This window comes from Homo sapiens, chromosome 20 (genome assembly GCF_000001405.40).
Source record: "Homo sapiens chromosome 20, GRCh38.p14 Primary Assembly".
Classification (NCBI taxonomy): domain Eukaryota; kingdom Metazoa; phylum Chordata; class Mammalia; order Primates; family Hominidae; genus Homo; species Homo sapiens.
In genome coordinates, this window is record NC_000020.11 from 58,995,180 (window position 1) to 59,015,116 (window position 19,937).

Consider the following 19,937-nt stretch of genomic DNA (forward strand, 5'->3'; position numbering starts at 1 on the left):
CTCAGTCTCGTGCAGAGCCAGATACTTTATTCATCACTTGGGCGATTTGAAACTGCCAACTCCCTCCCTCCCTCCCCCACCCTTGATTCTAAAGTGACATAAGAATGGTGATAAGTCTGAACTCTTTCACCTCTTAAATGCCATATTATTGCCCACAGTTGCCAAATACAAAATATCAAGTCCTCTGCTGAAGAAGACTGAGGTCCCATCGTTTCCTGTGTCGCAGGTCACTTCTTCACCAGGTGGCTGACTGCATCATTGTGAGGCAGAGCCATGCTGTGCAAGTGTCATAAGTCATCCCACTTTCAACTCTCAGGAACACTCGCAGCCAGTGCCACGCTGTCCTCGCCATCCAATATTGATAGCCACCCCAGTTCCTGCCAGCCAGCCTGGCACACATAACCATAGGATCCCCTCTGGTCATGGGTCACCATGCCTTTTCTTAAACTGCGCTTCTAGTGACATGGCCTTAAACGATGGGGTCCCCAAATGTACAGTGCTCCTCGATGGCAAGGTTGTATCTGGCGCCCTTCCCATCCTTATAGGTGCTGGTCACGATCCTCAGCCAGCCTCTCTCGCCCTGTGAGAAGTGGGATCGCGCGTCAGCCCATCTGCAGCCGTCTCCCGCTCCCCTTGCTGCCGTCAGCCCCCTGCCCCCTGCTTTCTGCCTCCATCTCTCAGGCCAGCCTTGGGGGATCCAGACAGCCCACTCAGCTGCCCCTCAGCTTTCCCATGACCCCTGTTCTGAAATACCTTTTGTGAAACATTTCACTTGGTTAATGTTTAACATGAGGGCCCTCTATGCCAGAAGTGAATTCATCTCACAAAACATGTTGACTCTAGACTGGTGCCTCCTCCAGCTACTACTACCCCCATTAGTCACCTAGTAAAAAATGACGACATTTCATCACCTGCACATGAACCGCTTTCCCCCCATTTCTTAATCATGAATTTCTGTGTCTTAAATTATTAATGGCTAAGACTAGGTCTGGCAGTTAATTTCTCTCTCCTGGATTTTTGGCCCAACTCGAGTATTTTTGAAAAACCGACACAGTATTTTAGGGGAGCCCAAAAACCATGATGGGAAAAAGAATGAGCTGGTTGTAAAGGAAGAGGGTGGCAGAGCCCCTCTCCAGCAGTGCTCACAGGGACTTCCCCAGGGCACCAGGCACCATCTGGAGACGGTTTTGGTCACACTGGGATTGCGGGGAGTCACCTAGTGGGTGGAGGGGCCAGGGATGCTGCTGAACACCCAAAGTGCACAGGATGGCGGCAGCCGCGCATGTCAGAGAAGGGTCTGGCCCCAAAAGCCACTCGCGCGGTGGCTGAGACAGCTGGAGCAAGGAACCCTCTGTCAAGGCCCCAGTTTTTAGCTAAACGTAAACAGAACCATTCAAGCGAGAGGAGTACCAGGACGTTTTTTTCTAGGAATGACCTTAAGAAAATGAAAACATCTTACCCATGGTTCACCCCATGAATTCCGGACAATCCAGTACTCAGTCCCATCACTGATGCCCCACCCAGCCACAGAAACGACATGGTTTATATATGTGGTGTCCTGGTATTCGGCATAGATGCCTCCGGTGTAGTTAGCCAGTCTTTCTGTTGCCATTATTCCACAGCTGAGAGCAAGCAGTTAAAGAATTACCACTTTTAAATTGAGAGAATTTACCGTCATTAGAAATAATCTGATATGGCTGGGCGCCGTGGCTCACGCCTGTAATTCCAGCACTTTGGGAGGCCGAGGCAGGTGGATCGCTTGAGTCCAGGAATTCAAGACCAGCCTGGGCAAGATGGCGAAACCCCACCTCTACAGAAAATACAAAAATTAGCTGGGTGTGGTGGTGTGCGCCAGTAGTCCCAGCTACTCGGTGGAGGGGGCTGAGGCGGGAGGATAGCTTGAGCCCGGGCGGTCAAGGCTGCAGTGAGCGAAGATCATACCACTGCACTCCAGCCTGGGTGACAGAGTGAGACTGTGTTTCAAAAAAAAAAAAAAAAAAAAAAATCTGGTATGACAACAAAGTGTAAACCCGACTCAGGTAGTGTATATCTGACGGTTCTGGATAAACTTCTGTTGTTATTCACATAGTGTCTTCCCTGCTGAAACTGCCCCCTCGGTACAGCTTGGAGCGTCTCATCCGCATTCCGCACAACCATCCATAGGGGCAGACTTGCTATCAGCTGAGTGTTAACTCTGAGAAAACTGAAGTTCTTAGAGGGGAAATGATGTGGCTGTCTCGAGCCTACTGAGTACAACCGGCCAGAAGGAAAGTGGCGAAGGACGGAGATGCCTACATGAGCACCGACATGAGCCCACACTGGCGCTGTCACCGCGGATCTCTCCTCACCCGCGGGACCTTTCCTCACCCGCGGGACCTTTCCTCACCCGCAAACCTCTCTTTGCCCGCGGGACCTCTCCTCACCTGATGGGACCATTTGCATAGATTTCTGCCATCATCTTCTCCCTCCCAGAGAGGGAGCCGTAGTCTCCCACCCTCCAGAGGGTGTAGTTCCGGATGGCGTGGCACTCTTTGAATTCATTGCATGTCCCACATTGGTTAAACTTGTCACACTCTGGGGGAGAGCAAGAAAAGTCAGCATGAGGCCGTCTCCTCATCAACCCACTGACAAAGAAGCCCGCCAAGCCCACTCTCCACTCTCATCATGCAGCCTACCACTCAGCAGCTAAGAACGGAAATCATCTTGCTATTAGGTGCTGCTTAATGACGCTCTTCTTTCAGCTGCCAGGGAGTTATGAAAAGCCCTTCCCCAGGCCTTGGCAGAGAAGAAAAGAGACAGACATTAATTAGCACATAGTAGGCACCCAGGAGTTCGCCTTTTTCCTCTAATGGCTGGAGAAGGACCTTTCCACAATACTTTCTAGCTGAAAATGGAGCATAATCAAATGATTAGCACTTAATAAAATGTCTCTATTGCTGGCTGGTGAATAAATAGGCCAATACTTTGGGTAACAACAACCACAAAAAAGCATTTTCTTCTGTGCCCACGCTGAGGGGACCAAAAAAAAAAATTCTGGTTATTTCGACTTAAGAGGTTATCAAGAATTAGGCTTAAAAAATAAAATAAAGAGGGCCAGGCGCCTGTAATCCCAGCTCTTTGGGAGGCCGAGGTGGGTGGATCACCTGAGGTCAGGAGTTTGAGACCAGCCTGGCCAACATGGTGAAACCCCTGTCTCTACTAATAAAGTACAAAAATTAGCTGGGTGTGGTGGTGGATGCCTGTAATCCCAGCTACTCAGTGGAGGCTGAGGCAGGAGAATCGCTTGAACCCGGGAGGCAGAGGTTGCAGTGAGCCAGGATCGCGCCATTGCACTCCAGCCTGAGCGACAAGAGCGAGACTCCGTCTCAAAAAAAAAGAAAGAAAGAAAGAAAGAAAGGACAGGCGTGGTGGCTCACACCTGTAATCCCAGCACTTCGGGAGGCCGAGGCAGGAAGATGGCTTGATACCAGGAGTCTGAGACCAGCCTGGACAACAGAGCGAGACCTCATCTCTACAGAAAAAAAATTTTATAAATTAATTTAAAAAAAAGAAAAAGTACAGCTCTCGGTTTTGCAAGGCTCAGAGTCACTGTGTTCCCACTTTTCACTCCATCCACACGGCGGCCCTCGGCCTGCCATTCGCTGCTTTGGCGCGACCTGTCTGTCATAGTTACACATCTGTCGGGATTCCTCCCCCAGGAACATGAGCACCTTGAGGCTCAGACACTGGTTCAATTTGTTCCTTGCACACCAAGTGCCCAGTGCCCAGTACTACGGGAAAATGGTGGATGTGTGGCCACACTTTTGCTAACACTACAAAGATGACTATTTATCGCAATCAGGTTTTTTTATTCTTTTCTTTTCTTTTTTTTTTGGAGACAGAGTCTCACTCTGTCACCCAGGCTGGAGTTCAGTGGTATGATCCTGGCTCACTGCAACTTCTGCCTCCTGGGTTCAAGTGATTCTCCTGCCTTAGCCTCCTGAGTAGCTGGGATTACAGGCGCATGCCACCGCGCTCGGCTATTTTTTGTATTTTTAGTAGGGACAGGGTTTTACCATGTTGGCCAGTCTGGTCTCGAACTCCTGGTCTCAAGTGATCCGCCCGCCTCAGCCTCCCAAAGTGCTGGGATTACAGGTGTGAGCCACCGCGGTCACCAGTCACACAATCAGGTTTCTGATGAGCTCCATCTGCTCCTGTCAGGCTGGGTGGGTTGGAGGGGCCTGGCCTCAGCTGGGCGAGAGCACTTTGGCGTGGAGTGGGCGTGGCCCTGGAGACCACCTGATACCTGCTTCCTGCTTCCAGAGCCATCTGATAGCCCTTCCCTCTGCACCTTCCATCTGTCCCCCTTCTCGAAGGACTCACTCAGCCAGTCCAGGAGAATTTCTGGCTGAACAATAAGGCCTGAGAGGCAAGGCAAGGGAGCCCCGTTGGCAGAGGGTGGTGCCCAGAGGACCTTCTGCCACTTCAGAGTGCACAGGGCGCTGGGGCCAGCCTATATAGCCTGGGGCAGGGGTGGAGGCAGCAAAGCAAGCAGCTGCTGGGCTTTCCCAGCTCTCTGCTCTGGCTGTGAGGGAGATCTGAGTCAGGTGGCTTAAAACTACCAGTTATGGCCGGGCACGGTGGCTCACACCTGTAATCCCAGCACTTTGGGAGGCCGAGGCAGGCATATCACGAGGTCAGGAGATCAAGACCATCCTGGTTAACACAGTGAAATCCCGCCTCTACTAAAAATACAAAAAATTAGCCGGGCGCGGTGGCGGGCGCCTGTAGTCCCAGCTACTCCGGAGGCTGAGGCAGGAGAGTGGCGTGAACCCGGGAGGCGGAGCTTGCAGTGAGCCGAGATCGCGCCACTGCAGTCCTGCCTGGGCGAAAGAGCGAGACTCCGTCTCAAAAAAAAAAAACAAACTACCAGTTATGGCCGGGCGCAGCAGCTCATGCCTGTAATCCCACCATTTTGGGAGGCCAAGGCAGGTGGATCACTTGAGGTTGGGAGTTTAAGACCAGCCTGAACAACATGGAGAAACCCCGTCTCTACTAAAAAATACAAAAGTAGCTGGGCGTGGTGGCGCATGCCTGTAATCCCAGCTACTCAGGAGGCTGAGGCAGGAGAATCACTCAAACCCGGGAGGCGGAGGTTGCAGTGAGCAGAGATCGTGCCATTGCACTCCAGCCTGGGCAACAAGAGCAAAACTCCCTCTCAAAAACAAACAAACAAACAAACAAAACCTACCAATTATGGGATTAGGGTCTGGACTTTTCTTTCCTTCTGTTTCTAATGGGAGCAGCCTGAAAGGAATGTGCCAGCTCTAGGGATTCCAGGCTAGCTTGGGTCTGCTCATCCACACAGCACCCCCTTGGCCGTAGCCGCACCTGAATGTGGGGGACCTGGGCCCTGGGTCACCAGAACAGGAACCAAGCCAATGGCTCCTTCCAGTTTGGGGCAGCACCTCCCCACCTGCTCTCCACCAAAGCTCCTGGAAAATGAACTCTCCCTCCACAAGGCCCCCTACACCTCTCCCCTACAAAGGCCCAAAAAGCCACCAAAATGCCAGCATGTCAGAACTCAAACACCACATTCAGGCCCAGCCAAAGGGGCACAGGAGCAAGACACTCTTCCACGAGGCTGGAGACATGGGGACAGGGCCGGTATTTTTTTTTTTTTTTTTTTGAGCCGTAGTCTTGCTCTGTCACCCAGGCTAGAGTGCAGTGGCGCGATCTTGGCTCACTGCAACCTCTGCCTCCCGGGTCAAGCAATGCTCCTGCCTCAGCTGCCCGAGTACCTGGGATTACAGGTGTGCACCACCACACCCAGCTAATTTTTGTGCTTTTGGTAGGGACGGGATTTCACCGTGTTGGCCAGGCTGGTCTTGAACTCCTGACCTCCAGTGATCTGCCTGTCTCGGCCTCCCAAAGTGCTGAGATTACAGGCATGAGCCACCGCGCGCATGGCCAAGGATGCTCTTCAGACCGCTCCTGCAGCAGGCTTTTTCGTTGGGCTTCTCAACAGGGACTACGGGGTCCAGTTTTCTGATCCCCAGCCCAAGCGGGTGCAAGATAGCAGAGGGGGCTTCTGCAGCGAGAGGCTGGAGCTGGCACTGGGAACACTACCCCTCATGGTCAAGAGCACCAGCGCCCCTGGGGGCTGCAACCTCTGCCCTCCCGCAGCTCCCCAGCCACCAGCCAATGTGAGGAGCACGGGGTCAGGCTGGGTCCTCAGCCACGAAGGCCTGTGGAAGAGGGAGTGGAGGGCAGGAGGGTGGAGTGGGGGCACGGGCAGCAGCCTACCCTGGTCCTTGGCCTGGTAGTTGTTGCAGGTCTCGTCAGGGATGCCGTGCTGGTGGGCGTAGTCCCACACGGACAGGTCATTACCCCCTTCACAGGAGCCAGCGTTACCGCAGTCGATGACGTTCTGCACGGACAGGAGGGTGGAGGGCCACGCTCCCTTCCTCTTGATGTTGATCCGATCTGCAACAGTCAGCACCTGCCAGTCAGCACTCACCCACTCTCCACCCACTTCCCCGAACGGACCTGGACGCCTCAGGCGGGATGCAGGCGCTGCCCAGCCTGGCCTGCCTTCAGCTCTGCCCAGCTGCCTGTGTCTCCTTCTCCCTGCTGACCTCTTCATGGAGGTCTCCGCTCAGACGTCGCTCTGCAGAGAGGCCTCTCCTGGCCTTCTTTGGGCACTGTCCTGTCTGCCACACCTCCCGCTACAAATGCCATGAGAGCAGGGCCAGGGCCAGGCGGTCACCAGCATCTGGCCCTGCAGACACCTGAGAAGTGCCTGCTGAATGAAGGGCTGAATGGACAGAGACTCAGCCACCCATGGCAAGTGGGCCACACCCCAAAGCCAGCCAGGAGAGACCGTCCCTGCCCTCGTGGACAGGGGGCCAAGGTGTCAGCTCTGTGAACGAGTATAGCCCAGGGAGCCGCATGAGCCCCAGTGAGGGGCCAGATGCGGTCCTGAGGGCTGGGGAAGGCCAGCAGGGACCCAGCCCCGAAGGCACTGGGGGATGCAGAGGGCTCCCAGCGGCTGGCTGACCATGCCCTCACTGCCCAGGTGGCTGGGCTCTAAATCCCAAGGTGCAGCCAGGGACAGCTCAGGGTGGTCACCGAGGGACCTGCTTCCCTTCCCATGCACAAATGCAATAAAACAGATCCTAGAAGGAAATCCGGGCCCATGTTCAGGGTCATCTCACTCTGCCCTCCCAGGACAATGATTTCACAGCCACACACCCCTGCACCTGCCTCAGGCCTCATCTCCTGACCCCACGTTCAAGTCGGAACTCTTCCTGCAGCCTCACCTGTCCCTCCCCCAGGGCACAATGAGCAGGGAGTCCCTCTGCCCATTGGCAGCCCCCTCTGGACCTGCACATCCCCTCCATCTCTTGTCACCTTCCAGACTCTCCCACACTGCCCCACAGTCCGCTCCTCCACCTGGCCTCCTCCCGGTCGCCCAGCCAGGGGCCTTCTGGAACTGTCCCTGCTCTGGTGACTTCACGCATCACTGAAAAGTCCCAAAGCAGACCTCCATCCTGCCGCCACCCAGCCTGCCCATGCTCTGCACCCCAAACCCTCTTCCTGGAGCAGCCGGTGGCTGGTTTGTCCCCTCCCACCTGACCGACCCACCCTAGGTTCCATCCTGTTTCCTCCCAAGGACTTGGCTCCCTCCAGCTTTCCTTCTCCCCGCTCCCTTGTCAGCTATGCCCCCTCTAAGCAGATCTGCACACCCCAAACTTGCCTTTCTCACAACAACAGAGGAAGCCCCCGGCCCCTCCCACTCACTATCACGGTTTTCTGCTTCACTCAATGGTTTGAGACAGTGCCCCGACCCCTACTGCCCCGCTCCTCTTCAGCCCTTTCTCTCTTGCTAAAGGTCACTTCTCCACTGTCATCCGAGCTGACCACTCTCCGGCAGCAGTCAGCACAGCGGTCGCTCCATCCTTCTGGAAGCACCTCCTGCCTGGGCTTCTGGAGTTCCACTTGGCAGTGCAGGGCGTCCCATGGCCTGCCCCCGAGCCCTATCCTTCTATGCCCAACCCAACCCGGCGACAGCAGTCCTGGCCCAGAGGCAGAGCTCGGATGGATGAGCAGTTTCGGTTCTGGCCTCTCCGTCTACTCCTGCCTGAAGCATCTGGACCCGGCCTAACCAGCTCACTGAGGTATGCACAAGCTTCTCCCACGGCCAAACTCAATCCTTCATCCCACCAGCCCCATCTGGGAACGGGCTTATTACTCACACTGTGGGCTAACACAAGTGTCCTGAATACGTTTAATGCAGACAAAGCCAGGCCAGGGTGTGCAGGAGGCTGGGTGTGTCAAACACATTTTCCACTCATGGTGTTTTCAACTTACGAGGGGGTTGTCGGGACATGACCCCACAGTTAAGTCAAGGAGCATCTGTAACTGTGCAAAGTCTACAGCACCATGAAGAAAAATAAATCCGGGAGATAATTCAGGAAGTGGGGTGTCATATGCATAGGGTGGCTGAGGAAGACCCCGCTGAGGTGACATCCATAGGAGGGAGGGAGGGAGCCATGGGACCTCAGGGAGAGAGGAGGTGCCTGGTGGGAGAAGCTACCTCCCTGCTCCACTCTCCGCAGGAGCAGGGGAGCAAGGGCGGACTGGGAGGGAGCCCGATGGTGAAGGCTCTTGAAGGCCAGAGGGTTCTGTCTTTTATCTGAGTGGAATCCTGAGAGGGTTTCAAGCCAAAGAACATGTTCTGATGGGTTGTCACAGGCTCACTGTGGCCTCAGGGGCAGAGGCCAGGAGACCAGTGAGGGCAGTCGGCAGTGGGGCGGTGTGGCTTAGACCTGGAGGAGGCGGTGGGCGGTGCGTGATTTCTGCATCTGCTTCGAAGGTAGAACCGACAAGACTTGTGGGTGGATTATATGAGGGACAGAAAACAGAGGAGTCGGGTACCAGTCCAGGCTTTTGCCTGCATAGCCGGAAGGACAGCCAGGGAGGACTGGGGAAGAAATGGGCTGTCAGGTGACAGTAGTGGAAGGAGCCATCCAGACCTGAAGGTCTGAGGCTGGAGGTGTCAGGTGACCGGGACAGCGGGCGAGTGGGCAGGTGGATGTCAAGCTGAGTTCAGGTGAAGGGTTGGTCCTGGGGAAGCTGACACTCAGAACTCTGAGGAGCAGACAGCTGGGGAGAGGGGAAGGAGTGGCCAGGGAGGTGGAGGCGGGCAGTATGGTGCAGGAGAAGGAAGCATCCTGGGGAGACGTGATCAGGAGAATGCTTCACGGTGGGCCCCAGGTGGCAGTGGAAAGAACAGTGCCGGTGGAGTGGCAGAGGTGGGACTGAGGCTGGAGTGGGTTCAAGGGTAGAGAAGAGGAAGTGGAGGGACTCCAGATACTTCCCTAGGGAGCCCAGAATTGGGGCGGGGTGGGGCCGGGGGCTTTGTGTTCCTTTTTTCCAGGTGGGAGAGCTTCCCTGAGTGGGAAGGGACGGGCTCAGTGAGGGGACAAGACAGTTGATCCTGGGGGAGAGGAGGGAAGACAAATGGAGGACCTGCTGCCTTGGCTGGCAAATGGCCAGGGCCCCGTGGAAGTCCCCTTCTGGTGGCTTCTATTCCTCAGTGAAAGAGGAAGCGAGTGCCTGGGCCTGGGTGCGCTGAGAAGGAGGTTTCAGGAGAAAGTGGGGTGAAGCAGTCATCCGCCCAGAGAGAGTCCCCTGGGGAAATGCGGCAGGGCTGACCCCTGGCCAGGGTCCCACATCCATCTGAAAGCCATCTCCTTTCTACCCGCAGTCCTTCACAGACGCACATCTTGTCACCTGACTCCCTCTCAAAGAGTTCAAGGCTTCCCACAGGCACCTGTTGACCTTTCTATTCTCCCCTCACCCTCACCCCACCCTCAAAGGCTCTTTCACTTCCTCAGCGGGTGCCAGGCCTGGACACTTCCCCTAGACTCTGCCCAGTCCTCTGCCTCTAGCCCCACCCACACCCTGCAGCCCGCCCAAGGTCTCCCAGACCTTCCAGCTCCATCCACATCAAAGGGACCTTTGAACGATCAGAAGTGTGTTCCAGCCCCCGGGGGAGACGCCACGGATGCCACAGCTTCAGCTGGCTGGCTCTGGGGTCCAGACCCTACCCCCAGAGCAAGAACCCCTCATTCACAAGACTGAGCCCATCAGACATCCTGGCACAAAGCCCAGGCTTCCGGGCTCAAATCTCAGCTGTCACTCACACTATGCTCAAGCCTCCCCATCTCTCTGCAAAAAGCCTGCTTCCTCATCTGCAAACTGGAAGCAATCATGGCATTGAGGAGGCGTCAGTGAGATGGAGCACACGCAAACGCATGTCCCCCAGCCTTGGCCCACAGCGGCAGCCACACTGTAGTCTATCCTTTTCACATGGGTGTACAGCAGGCCTGACCCATGAGGACCAAGGCCAGGGAAGAGGCAACAGCACCACAGTGCTCATGGGCCAAACTCCCAGGCCACGCAAGTCCCATCTCCAGGGGAAATCCAGGCTCCTGGACCCTGTGCTGTGACTGGAGAGGGGATAGCAGAGTCCCTTCCAAATGCTGTGGGGTGGGCCTGGGGCTGGTTTGCAGCTGTCCCTTCTCCCGCCTTCTCTCCCAAAGCAGGGTGCAGCAGCCTCGTTGATAGGGAGGGCCTTAGTTTCCCCTTCCTCTTTGCTAAGAGCCTCCCTACCCTACTCCTGCCAAAAGCCTAAGATAGAAACCCACCAGGCTGGAGGTAGTGACCAGGTTAGGCCATGGGCTGTAGCCAACTAGCCTCACCCAATATTCCAAGCCCAGGACAGGCTTTCATCTGTGCTGAGAAGCAGTTTACTTCTGTATCCTCAAATACAGCCTGGGGACTCAGTGATTTTGCATTTCTGTTTCTATCCCAATGGCTGAGGTCACAAGCTTTGGGGGAGAGAGGGCACCTGGCAGCCACTTGTCACTGGGATTCAGTCCTAGTCCTGCCTGTCACCCAAAAGCCCCAGAATGACCCAGCTTGGGTCACCTCAGCAGAGGGCAAAGGCCCGCGCTCCTCGGCCTTAGCACCCCAGCCCAGGCTGACCTGGCCTTGAATCACAGGCCCCTGGAACCGCGGGCTGAGCTGCCTGGGCCTATAAACAGGCAGCCGGGATGGGCTTTCCTGGCCCACAGTCAAAGGGCGGCCACTCACCCGCCATAGCGCTGGTGCTGGCGTGGGCCCAGCAGGAGCCGCAGTATTGGGGGATGTGCTGGTTCCGGGTGATGCTGGCATAGTTGACACCATCCACATTGCGCCAGTCCCAGCTCTTGGGCAGATCCGCTGGGGACAGGTACTCATGAGGCCGGGGGTATGTGCTGAGAAGAGATCATCCCCACCCAGATCGGTGCTGGGGCTCCCGGGGGCCGTGGGCCCAGGAAGCCCTCGGTAGGGCCCTCCCGCCTTTCCCAACACCTGAGGGCATGGGAGTGGGGCCACAATCACCAGAGGTGAGCCAGGTGTGGGCCCACCTCACACTAGGAGGCTCCAGCGCTCTCAGAATGTGAAGGAGGCAGGGCACCCCCGAAAGGAGGGAACCGGGTTGCTCCCCCAGCCATGCCGCGCCGTAAGGGCCACCCCCAGAGGCCGAGGAGGTGGGGCTGGCCTGGCTTTCTGGCCAGGTGGGGCTTGTCCAACCCCACAAACATCAGGGCTCACCCTGGATGTGGAAGAGAAGGAGCGACCCCCAAAACGAAGCGGCTGGATCTGACCTTCCAAGGCCTGTTGGCGACGCAGGGCCCCCAGGAGGCAGAGCGCGCGCCTGGCCCGGGCGATGGGCCTCCCGTCCCCCCAGGGCTGCCTCCCCGCCGGTGCCCACCTGCGCCCCAGCGGAGCCAGCCCGTCCCCCCGCAGAGGCCGGTAGCAGGTCTGTCCCCGGCGGAAGTAGAGGCCGCCCTGCGCCGCGCCCGCCAGCAGCACGAGCAGCAGAAGCGGCCGCCACCCTGGCCCGCGCCTCGCCATGGCCCCGCGCCGGCTCCTGGGTCCCGCTCCGGATCCCGCTCCGAGTCCCAGATCCCGCGCCGGCTCCCGCTCTGGATCCCGCCCCGGCCTCGGCCTCGGCCCAGCACCCGGCCGACCCCGCACTTTGGGCCCCTGCCCCGCCCGGCCCTTAAGGCTGCGGCGGCCAGGCCGGGACACTCCCCCGGGGCGGGGCTGTCCCATCGCTGCTCCTGCCCCGCCCGGTGACCCCTGCCCTCCCCGCCCGGCTCCGCGCCCCGCTCCCTCCCTGGCTCCGGGGCACCTGAACTCGCGGGCCAGGCGCGAGGTCGCCGGGCAGACCCCAGCCTGACCCCGCCGCCGGCCGCCGCCCTGAGCGCGGGACTGTCCGGCTGGACTCATTTGCCGGGGTTCCTGGCTTCGGGGTGGGGGGCCGCAGGCTCATGGGCCCCCTTGGCCCTGCATTCCTGGGGCCCTGAGCCCTGGGGAGAGGCCCCCAGCCTCACATCTGGGCCCAGGCCTCCCCTAGGAAGGGATCCTGGGATGCGGCCACCGCCCCCAAAGAAGGGTCCCCGCGCCTGGCTTTCTAAACCCCTTTTCCCAAAGGCCCAGGCCCTTTCGGGGGGACGGTTCCCTTTTGCAGAGAAGGAAGGAGGGATCCTTCTAGAAAATGCCCCAAAGGAAGATTCCACTTGGCGCAGGCATCAGGAGTTATCCAATGTGACTTCCAAAGACGCCTTGAAAAGGTTTTCTGCTAACGAAACTCTTCTTAGTCAAATGAGGAACCAAAAGCAGAAGTGGCCCCCCAGGACGTGGTTTTGTAACTGGGGGAGGGCTTCTCGCTCCCTGCGGCCCCTCTGTTTGTCATGGCCCTTGGGCCCACACCATGGCCTTCTTCTCTGGTAAGAACAGGGCCCGGCATTCTGGGCTGCGACCTGACAGGCCCCTGCTGGGGGCCCTTGGCACAGGGCCCACAGATGAGCTTGCCTGACTCTCTCCATACTCAGTGGCACTCACCACATTCCAAGCGTGCCACGTGGGCAAGGGGAAGTCACAGTGGCTGCCTCCTGACTTCCAGAAGCTTCCATGACCATTCCCGGAAGCGCTGAGGTGGCCATGGAATCCCCGCATGACTGTCCGAGTGGAGAGCAAGGCTGGAGAGCTGCTTCGTCAGCCCAGAAGTTTCAGTCCTTGTTCCCCAAAAAGTGGTCACTGAGGCAAAGTGTGGCCCCGGGGCTCTACCTACTGATGTGTCTCTTATTTGTTTGGCAAGTCGCTCATGGAAACCATTAGTGTCCATCAGTCATCAGAAGGCGGGGTGGGGTGGCCATCCTGGGAGAAGTCCCCAAGCTTGAGCTGGCGGTGGGGGTGGGAGCGAGGCCTCCCAACCTCTGGGCATAAAAGGAGTGGAAAGAGAATTGCCAAGAGGGGGCCTTTCTTCCTCCCATGTCAACCCTCTGGCCTCCCTGACTATAGGAGCTGGGTCCTTGTGAGGAAGAAACCCAGACACAGCTGCCCTTGCCAGGTCATCAGGTGGCATCTACCAAAGCGGCCGGTTTTTGGCTTCTTCTAAAGAAAAAGCTAAGAACTCACAAAATTGTGTGGTAAGAGATATCGTGCCCCTCCCTCCAGGTACCCATAGTTATGATCCAGGTACTGTGAAGTCCAACAGCACATTCTACAGCATGAGAAACAAGCCTGGAGAGGGGAGGGCCCCTTGTGCTTGGCCTCTGATGCCTGAGCTGTGATGTCCTGGGCCCTGGTCCCTGAATCTGGGTGAAAAGGCACCCAAGGTGTAAGCTTTTCTTTCCTGTAGCATGGGGAGAGCTGGGGTGCTCTGAAGATGCCCCGAGACTCTCCGAGCAGGTCCAGCGCATGTAGAAGGTATGACAGGCATGGTCAGCAAGGCAGGCACACGACCCCTGCAGTCACATGAGGCCCTAAGTCCAGAAGTGTAATGCAGAGCTGAACGAGGGGCTCTCCAGGTTCACTGTGCCCTGGGCCCTGCAAATTATGTAGCTGGGTCTGATGACAGCAACCACACCTGCTCCATCACAAGTCCTGTACATCACCCGCTTTCAGCCCAGAGCCTCTGGCAAATCAAACTCACAAACAGGGGTCAGGAGGAGGGGTGAGATGGTCAGGAAGGGGAATAAACATTCACAGTCCTGCTCCCAAATGCTGGCACAAAGCTTAATTTATCTGGGGAGTTCCAAAGAGGAGACTCTCCGGATTTACCCTATTGAAAGTTGGTTAAAGGGAAGGATATTTTTAGGCTGGTAACAAAAAGGACGTCCAAAGTTGACAACTTGTGCCCCCTGGGTTTCCCTAACATAGAAGCAATTCAAGATCAGAATCTGATGGAATAGGGCAGGAAGAGAGGGAGGGAGCCTATCCATTTGAAATCATCATTTACTTTTTCTTTTCTTTTTTTTTTTTTGGAGACAGAGTCTCGCTCTGTCACCTGGGCTGGAGTGCAATGGAGCAATATCGGCTCACTGCAACCTCCACCTCCTGGGTTCACGCAATTCTCCTGCCTCAGCCTCCTGAGTAGCTGGGATTACAGGCACACACCATCACACCTGGCTAAGTTTTTGTATTTTTAGTAGAGATAGGGTTTCACTACGTTGGCCAGACTGGTCTCGAGCTTCTGACCCCGTGATCCTGCCGCCTCGGCCTCCCAAAGTGCTGGGATTACAGGTGTGAGCCACCGCGCCTGGTCTGAAATCATCATTTTCAAGCCAAGAAGGAAGGAAGGGGGCCTGATGAGACTTATCTCTCCAGCCTCTTCTCATGGGTCCAACACAGCAAACCACGCAGAGACAGGGCTCCTCATCTCTGAACCTGGCCCTAGTCGAGTGGATGCATGTCTGGCTGCCAGACTGCTCCGAGAAGCTGGCGGGCTGTGTCATTTTGGGGGTTACTAAAATCGTGCAGCAGAGGATCCTAAATAGGATTTTTGGTTTTCTTGGTTTTGGGGTTTTTGTTGGTTGTTTTTGTTTTTCCCTTAACTCGATGCAAGATCTTAAACATGTTCCTTGTGGGGGCGGGGTTGGGGATGGCCACAAACCCACCCAAACTCAAATTCCAGTGCTGCTATTAGTGAAGGATGTTTAGCTGGAGGAGTTCTCTGAAGGGCACACAGATAAAACCAGGAGGTGTCTGGGACTGGAAAAAGAGGAGGGAGCACATTGGGAACCTGATAGACAGGCCACCCCAGCCATTTCTTGCTGGGGACTGCTTGCTGGGGGTTGAGTTTAGCCCCAGAGCTGTGTCTCTCTCTTCAAAGCAGACTCACCTGCAGAGCAGCTTGGGGACTCTTGGAAACCGGAAAGGTGTTTCCTCCTGACTTGGCTGCAGGTGCCTGCAAGGTGGTTTTGTGGATACTGACTCTTCTTCTCATCTGGGCCGGGATCCGAAGAGGCTTGGGGCAGGGCACTTGGACCTTCCTACCTCTGAGGCCCTACTTGCCTAAGCATTGCTTCTAGCAGCTCTTTATAAGCAGCTGTGTGCCACCGCCTTCCAGCTTGGGGCAGAATTGAGTAGGTATTTAGAGCAAGGCGTCTCCCCTGAAACCACTTTGCCTGGAAAGCTTGGCACCTATCCTGGGTTTTCCTTCCTGGAGGTAATGGAGTCATTCCTGCTCCCAGTGGTGCTTGAGGGCAGAGGGCTGAGCCAATGACATTCTAGAGGACTGTGCAGCCGCATTTGATCCTTTGCACAATGCTGTGAGGTGGGGGTGGGGGTTGGGAGGCAGATGCTATTACTCCATTCTACTGGCGAAAAGACTGAGCCTCTGGAGATGTCAGGTGACCTGTGCTCAGCACGAGGCTCCTGGGTGGCAGGTTCCAATCCAGTCCCTTTTTTTTTTTTTTTTTTTAACCCCATGAATTCTCCTGGAAAACACATGATCCAAGGCCACAGACACAAAAGCCTATTCATTTCTAAAAATAAGGCTGATTTTTCTCCTCATTCTGATAAAGATCAGCACTCAGGCCACGGCTGGCCCACCTTCCCAACCTGGAGGAGGAGAACACAGATGAGTTTTCATCGACTGTGGAATGGCCTCGAAATCCTTTTTCTTCTTCCTTTGTGCCATATTGTCTGGCTTCCACCCCGGCAAGCTGCAGACATTTCCTATTATTCCACATTCCTGAGTTTAGCCACATCCTGGATACCGGCATTTGTTTGGGTGGATGCCGACAATGCTCGCTAGGCTAGGCTGGTTTTGCAGGGCACGACGGTTCCCTCACCAGCTACAGGAGTTCCTCTTGATCCACTTGGTCAACGGGTCAGAGGCACTCGCTAACACCCAGATATCTCTGCAGTGCAGGCCTTCAGATAGGGCGGGCCAGGTTTGCAATCCACCATGCCACTGTCCCCAAGCACCACCATGCATCACATCCTGGCCTGGTTGTGTTATGGGAAAGGGGATCCCAACCCAGATCCCAAGAGAGGGTTCTTGGACCTCACGCAAGAAGGAATTCGGGGAAAGTCCATAAAGTGAAAGCAAGTTTATTAAGAAAGCAAAGGAATAAAAGAATAGCTCCTCCACAGGCAGAGCGGCAGCACGGGGTGCTCAGCTATTTATAGTTACTGTTACTTCTTCATTATACACTGAACAAGGAGTGGATCATTCATGAGTTTTTTGGAAAGGGGTGGGCAATTCCAGGAACTGAGGGTTCCCCCGCTTTGTAGACCATACAGGGTAACTTCCTGATGCTGCTGTGGCATCTGTAAACTGTCATGGTGCTGGTAGGAGTGTCTCTTAGCATGCTAATGCATTATAATTATCATATAATCAGCACTGAGGACAACCAGAGGTCACTTTCATCGCCATCTTGGGTTTGGTGGGTTTTGGCTGCCTTCTTTATCACATCCTTTTATCAGCAAGGTTTTTTGTTTGTTTTTGTTTTTTGAGACAGAGTTTCGCTCTTGTTACCCAGGCTGGAGGGCAATGGCACAATCTTGGCTCACTGCAACCTCTGCCTCTTGGGGTCAAGTGATTCTCCTGCCTTAGCCTCCCGAGTAGCTGGGATTACAGGTGCCTGCCACCATGCGTGGCTACTTTTTTGGCTTTTTTTAGTAGAGACGGGGTTTCACCATGTTGGCCAGGCTGGTCTTGAACTCCTGACCTCAGGCGATCCACCCGCCTCAGCCTCCCAAAGTGCTAGTATTACAGGCCTGAGCCACCGTGCCTGGCCTATTGGCAAGGTCTTGGTGACCTGTACCTTGTGCCGACCTCCTATCTCATCCTGTGATGTAGAATGTCTAACCTCCAAGGAATGCAGCCCAGGAGGTCTCAGCCTTATTTTACCCAGTCTGTATTCAAGATGGAGTCGCTCTGGTTCAAACGCCTCTGACAGTTGCACAGTGACTGGTGGTGCACACTTGCTTGGGAGTGGATGTGGCTCCTTGGGCTGACATTGATGAAGGCAGCCTCATCAGTATCACCTTTGGGACACACCCTGTGCAGCACAGCATGTAACAGACACAGCCCACCCATGAACTCACCAGGAAGTCTTTCAAAGGGGCACTCAATGACTACCCGATTGAATTTGTTTGCCCTCTAAAGTTAGGCTGTCAGCAAATATTTGTTGAGCACCTAGTACGTGCAGGCTACTGTTTTCTTCCCCGGGGATTCGGCAGTGAACAAAGTCCCTGTCTGCAAGGACTTATGTTTTCTGCATAAGGGAACATGTGGAAAAGTAAAATGCTCAGGAGGTAGGAAGTGCTTGCAAACAGTTAAAACGGGGAACAGGAGAGACGGAGGGTCTCTGGAGAAGTTTGGTCTGGGACCATTCTTTTAGGTATCCAGTGAGTTGGGATTGAATAATGACAGTCATGGAAGGTGCTGGAAGGAGACTCAGCAGAAGGAAGAGTGTCTGCAGAGGCCTGAGAATGTGAGTGCACTGGGTAAGTGTGTGATGCACTGGGGAAAGCCCTTGGGGAGGCTGCGGACAGGTGGGCTCAGCCTCCAAGCTGCAGGGACCATGCGGGCACTCAGGCCAGCTTCACACGGCCAGCCCACCTCTCCCCTTCCCTCCCCTTTCTGCCATCTGACAGAGGCTCTGCTGGCCTCCTTCATCCCCCACCTAATTTCCCTGCCCAGCGGGTTTCCCATCCCTGTCTCATGGGGCGTGTGCATTTTGGAAGATCTGAAGGCACACATCGGCCTTCCTTTTGTAAGAGGTTTGGGTTTTCTCCCGGTTGCCACTGGCTTTCCAGGAGGGCAGTGGCTGAGAGCTGATTTCTGTTTGTAAGATCCCTCTGGTGACTGTGGGAAGGATGCTGTGAGTGGAGTCAGCTGTGGGACAGGAAGGGCCCTGGAGGGGAGAGCCACAGGTGATGGATGAGGAATGCTGTTTGAGAGAAGGGGAGAGTAGATGCATCAGGACATCCACCTGGGAGCAGGACTTGCAGGATGCAGTTACAGAGTGAGGAGCAGGGGACGTGAGCACCCCGGGCTCCTGGAGCCTGCCTCTTGGCCCCTTGAATTGTACCCCTGGATGTAGGTGTCTGAGGACCTGCAATCCGTTTCTGGTTCTGCCACATTATCCTGAGACTTGAACATGTCAATTCCTCTCTGAGCCTTAGTTTCTTCTTGAAGGTGGTGGTGTCATGCAGGCTAAACGAGGGAGCATGTGGGAGACGGTGGCGGCGGCAGAGAAACTGGTAAAGACCGGCAGAGCGGGAGGCTAGTGCTGCTTTCACCCTCTAAGTCCCTGGAGGGCAGGGCCCATATTTTCTACTTTTCTGAGGTCCCTCAAAACTAATATATCCGAGATTTCTTGGACAAACACTGGGCTTGAAGAAGTACATATTTTTGTTCAATTTCAGCTCCAGGTGCTGACCCATTTTATGCTTATCTGTTCATGCCACAGAACATCGCTTATCACTAGCTGCAACTTCGGGAGACAGGAAAGATGCAAGTGAGAAGGTTCATGTGTCCATCTCTTAGATCTTCGCGCAGTTCAGGGGAAGTGGTGGTGGTGGTAGGTGTGTGTGTGCGCGCGTGTGTGTGTTATCTCCTGTAAATCAGAGTTGCCACAGCCTGCATGCTGCTCACCAGTGCACCTGGAGAGACAGCAAGATGTTTCCACCCTCTGGGCTTGGAGGCTGGACAGGTGTGAGGAGCAGCCAGAGTCTGCCTGGTACAGGAACCATGAGCATCTCAGCTGTGGGGGAAGAAGGTTAACACTCCTGGCTCAGCGAAAACCAGCAATGTCCTCCTAGTCTCTCTCCTCTTGTAGTTAGTTACTCATCCTCCTAGAACTTTCTTTTCCAGTAAGAGAACACACACCGAGCAGGGTACAAGAAAGTGGAGCTCAGCTCCTCTGGCGGGCTGCCTACACCCGCTGAGTCACCCATAATGGCCCCTCAGATGTCATTTTCTTGCTAAGACATTTGGAAAAATTTCCTGGTTCTAAATCACACGCAAACAGTATAATTCAACAATCTTCTCTGAGTTATTCAGGGAACTTCAACGCACTCAGAAGTGGAAGATCGGGGCGGATGAAATCAATGAATTCTCTGAGTGCTCTGTTTTTCTCTGAATTCTATTTCATTTGCCAAATGGAGGGTGGGGGCAGCTCCATCTGACCCCTGGGGGATAACTCCTGGGGGAAGTCTGGAAGCAGCCGATTCGGGGTTTCTGGGTGACACTGGTTTTTCTTATCTTCCCGGTTCTATTTCTGTAATAGACGCAAGTGTCATGCAGGAAAAGGCTTGCTGCTGCGGAGCCTTCTGTGGATGGCTGTGACAGGCCACTGGAGGAGAGGGTTTCAGGCTCAGGGCTGGGCTGGTCCTGGTTGGGAATCTCAGTGTTGTGGGCCATAGCGTCCTCACCACACTTGCTAGGAGGAAGCTCCTGCCCTCTGGGGCAATGCTTGCTGATCTCCTCACCTAAATGCAGGCACTGCTAACCTGCCTTGGTCACAGCCCTTTGTTGGGGGGGCAGAAAACAACTTTGTCACTCATCACAGTGGCCACTGTGAATCGCTTGCTGCAGC

The 19,937-nt window shown here is 55.4% G+C and overlaps 1 protein-coding gene across 1 annotated transcript, besides 9 other annotated features; it reads right to left on the minus strand.

Annotated features, from left to right (window-relative positions):
- CTSZ (cathepsin Z) lies at positions 6-12,075 on the minus strand. The gene is made up of 6 exons (NM_001336.4): positions 11,807-12,075; positions 11,143-11,306; positions 6,286-6,465; positions 2,424-2,574; positions 1,460-1,622; positions 6-580 (listed from the first exon to the last, which is right to left on the minus strand). Exons 1-6 carry the CDS (start codon positions 11,947-11,949, stop codon positions 470-472), a joined length of 912 nt encoding a protein of 303 aa, NP_001327.2. The 5' UTR covers positions 11,950-12,075; the 3' UTR covers positions 6-469.
- Positions 9,509-9,558: an enhancer, noted in NCBI's record as "active region_18181". NCBI's record gives its function as "activates an Ori minimal core promoter by ATAC-STARR-seq in GM12878 lymphoblastoid cells {active_cell/tissue: GM12878}" and the evidence as "EXISTENCE:reporter gene assay evidence [ECO:0000049][PMID:35858748]".
- Positions 9,569-9,628: an enhancer, noted in NCBI's record as "active region_18182". NCBI's record gives its function as "activates an Ori minimal core promoter by ATAC-STARR-seq in GM12878 lymphoblastoid cells {active_cell/tissue: GM12878}" and the evidence as "EXISTENCE:reporter gene assay evidence [ECO:0000049][PMID:35858748]".
- Positions 9,869-10,178: an enhancer, noted in NCBI's record as "active region_18183". NCBI's record gives its function as "activates an Ori minimal core promoter by ATAC-STARR-seq in GM12878 lymphoblastoid cells {active_cell/tissue: GM12878}" and the evidence as "EXISTENCE:reporter gene assay evidence [ECO:0000049][PMID:35858748]".
- Positions 11,327-12,138: an enhancer, noted in NCBI's record as "H3K27ac-H3K4me1 hESC enhancer chr20:57581561-57582372 (GRCh37/hg19 assembly coordinates)". NCBI's record gives its function as "activates a minimal SCP1, AML or CMV promoter by ChIP-STARR-seq in naive H9 embryonic stem cells {active_cell/tissue: H9 hESC(naive)}" and the evidence as "EXISTENCE:reporter gene assay evidence [ECO:0000049][PMID:30033119]".
- Positions 11,327-12,358: a biological region, named in NCBI's record as "H3K27ac-H3K4me1 hESC enhancer GRCh37_chr20:57581561-57582372".
- Positions 11,759-12,358: a silencer, noted in NCBI's record as "silent region_13086". NCBI's record gives its function as "represses an Ori minimal core promoter by ATAC-STARR-seq in GM12878 lymphoblastoid cells {active_cell/tissue: GM12878}" and the evidence as "EXISTENCE:reporter gene assay evidence [ECO:0000049][PMID:35858748]".
- Positions 12,819-12,978: an enhancer, noted in NCBI's record as "active region_18184". NCBI's record gives its function as "activates an Ori minimal core promoter by ATAC-STARR-seq in GM12878 lymphoblastoid cells {active_cell/tissue: GM12878}" and the evidence as "EXISTENCE:reporter gene assay evidence [ECO:0000049][PMID:35858748]".
- Positions 12,999-13,108: an enhancer, noted in NCBI's record as "active region_18185". NCBI's record gives its function as "activates an Ori minimal core promoter by ATAC-STARR-seq in GM12878 lymphoblastoid cells {active_cell/tissue: GM12878}" and the evidence as "EXISTENCE:reporter gene assay evidence [ECO:0000049][PMID:35858748]".
- Positions 13,249-13,328: an enhancer, noted in NCBI's record as "active region_18186". NCBI's record gives its function as "activates an Ori minimal core promoter by ATAC-STARR-seq in GM12878 lymphoblastoid cells {active_cell/tissue: GM12878}" and the evidence as "EXISTENCE:reporter gene assay evidence [ECO:0000049][PMID:35858748]".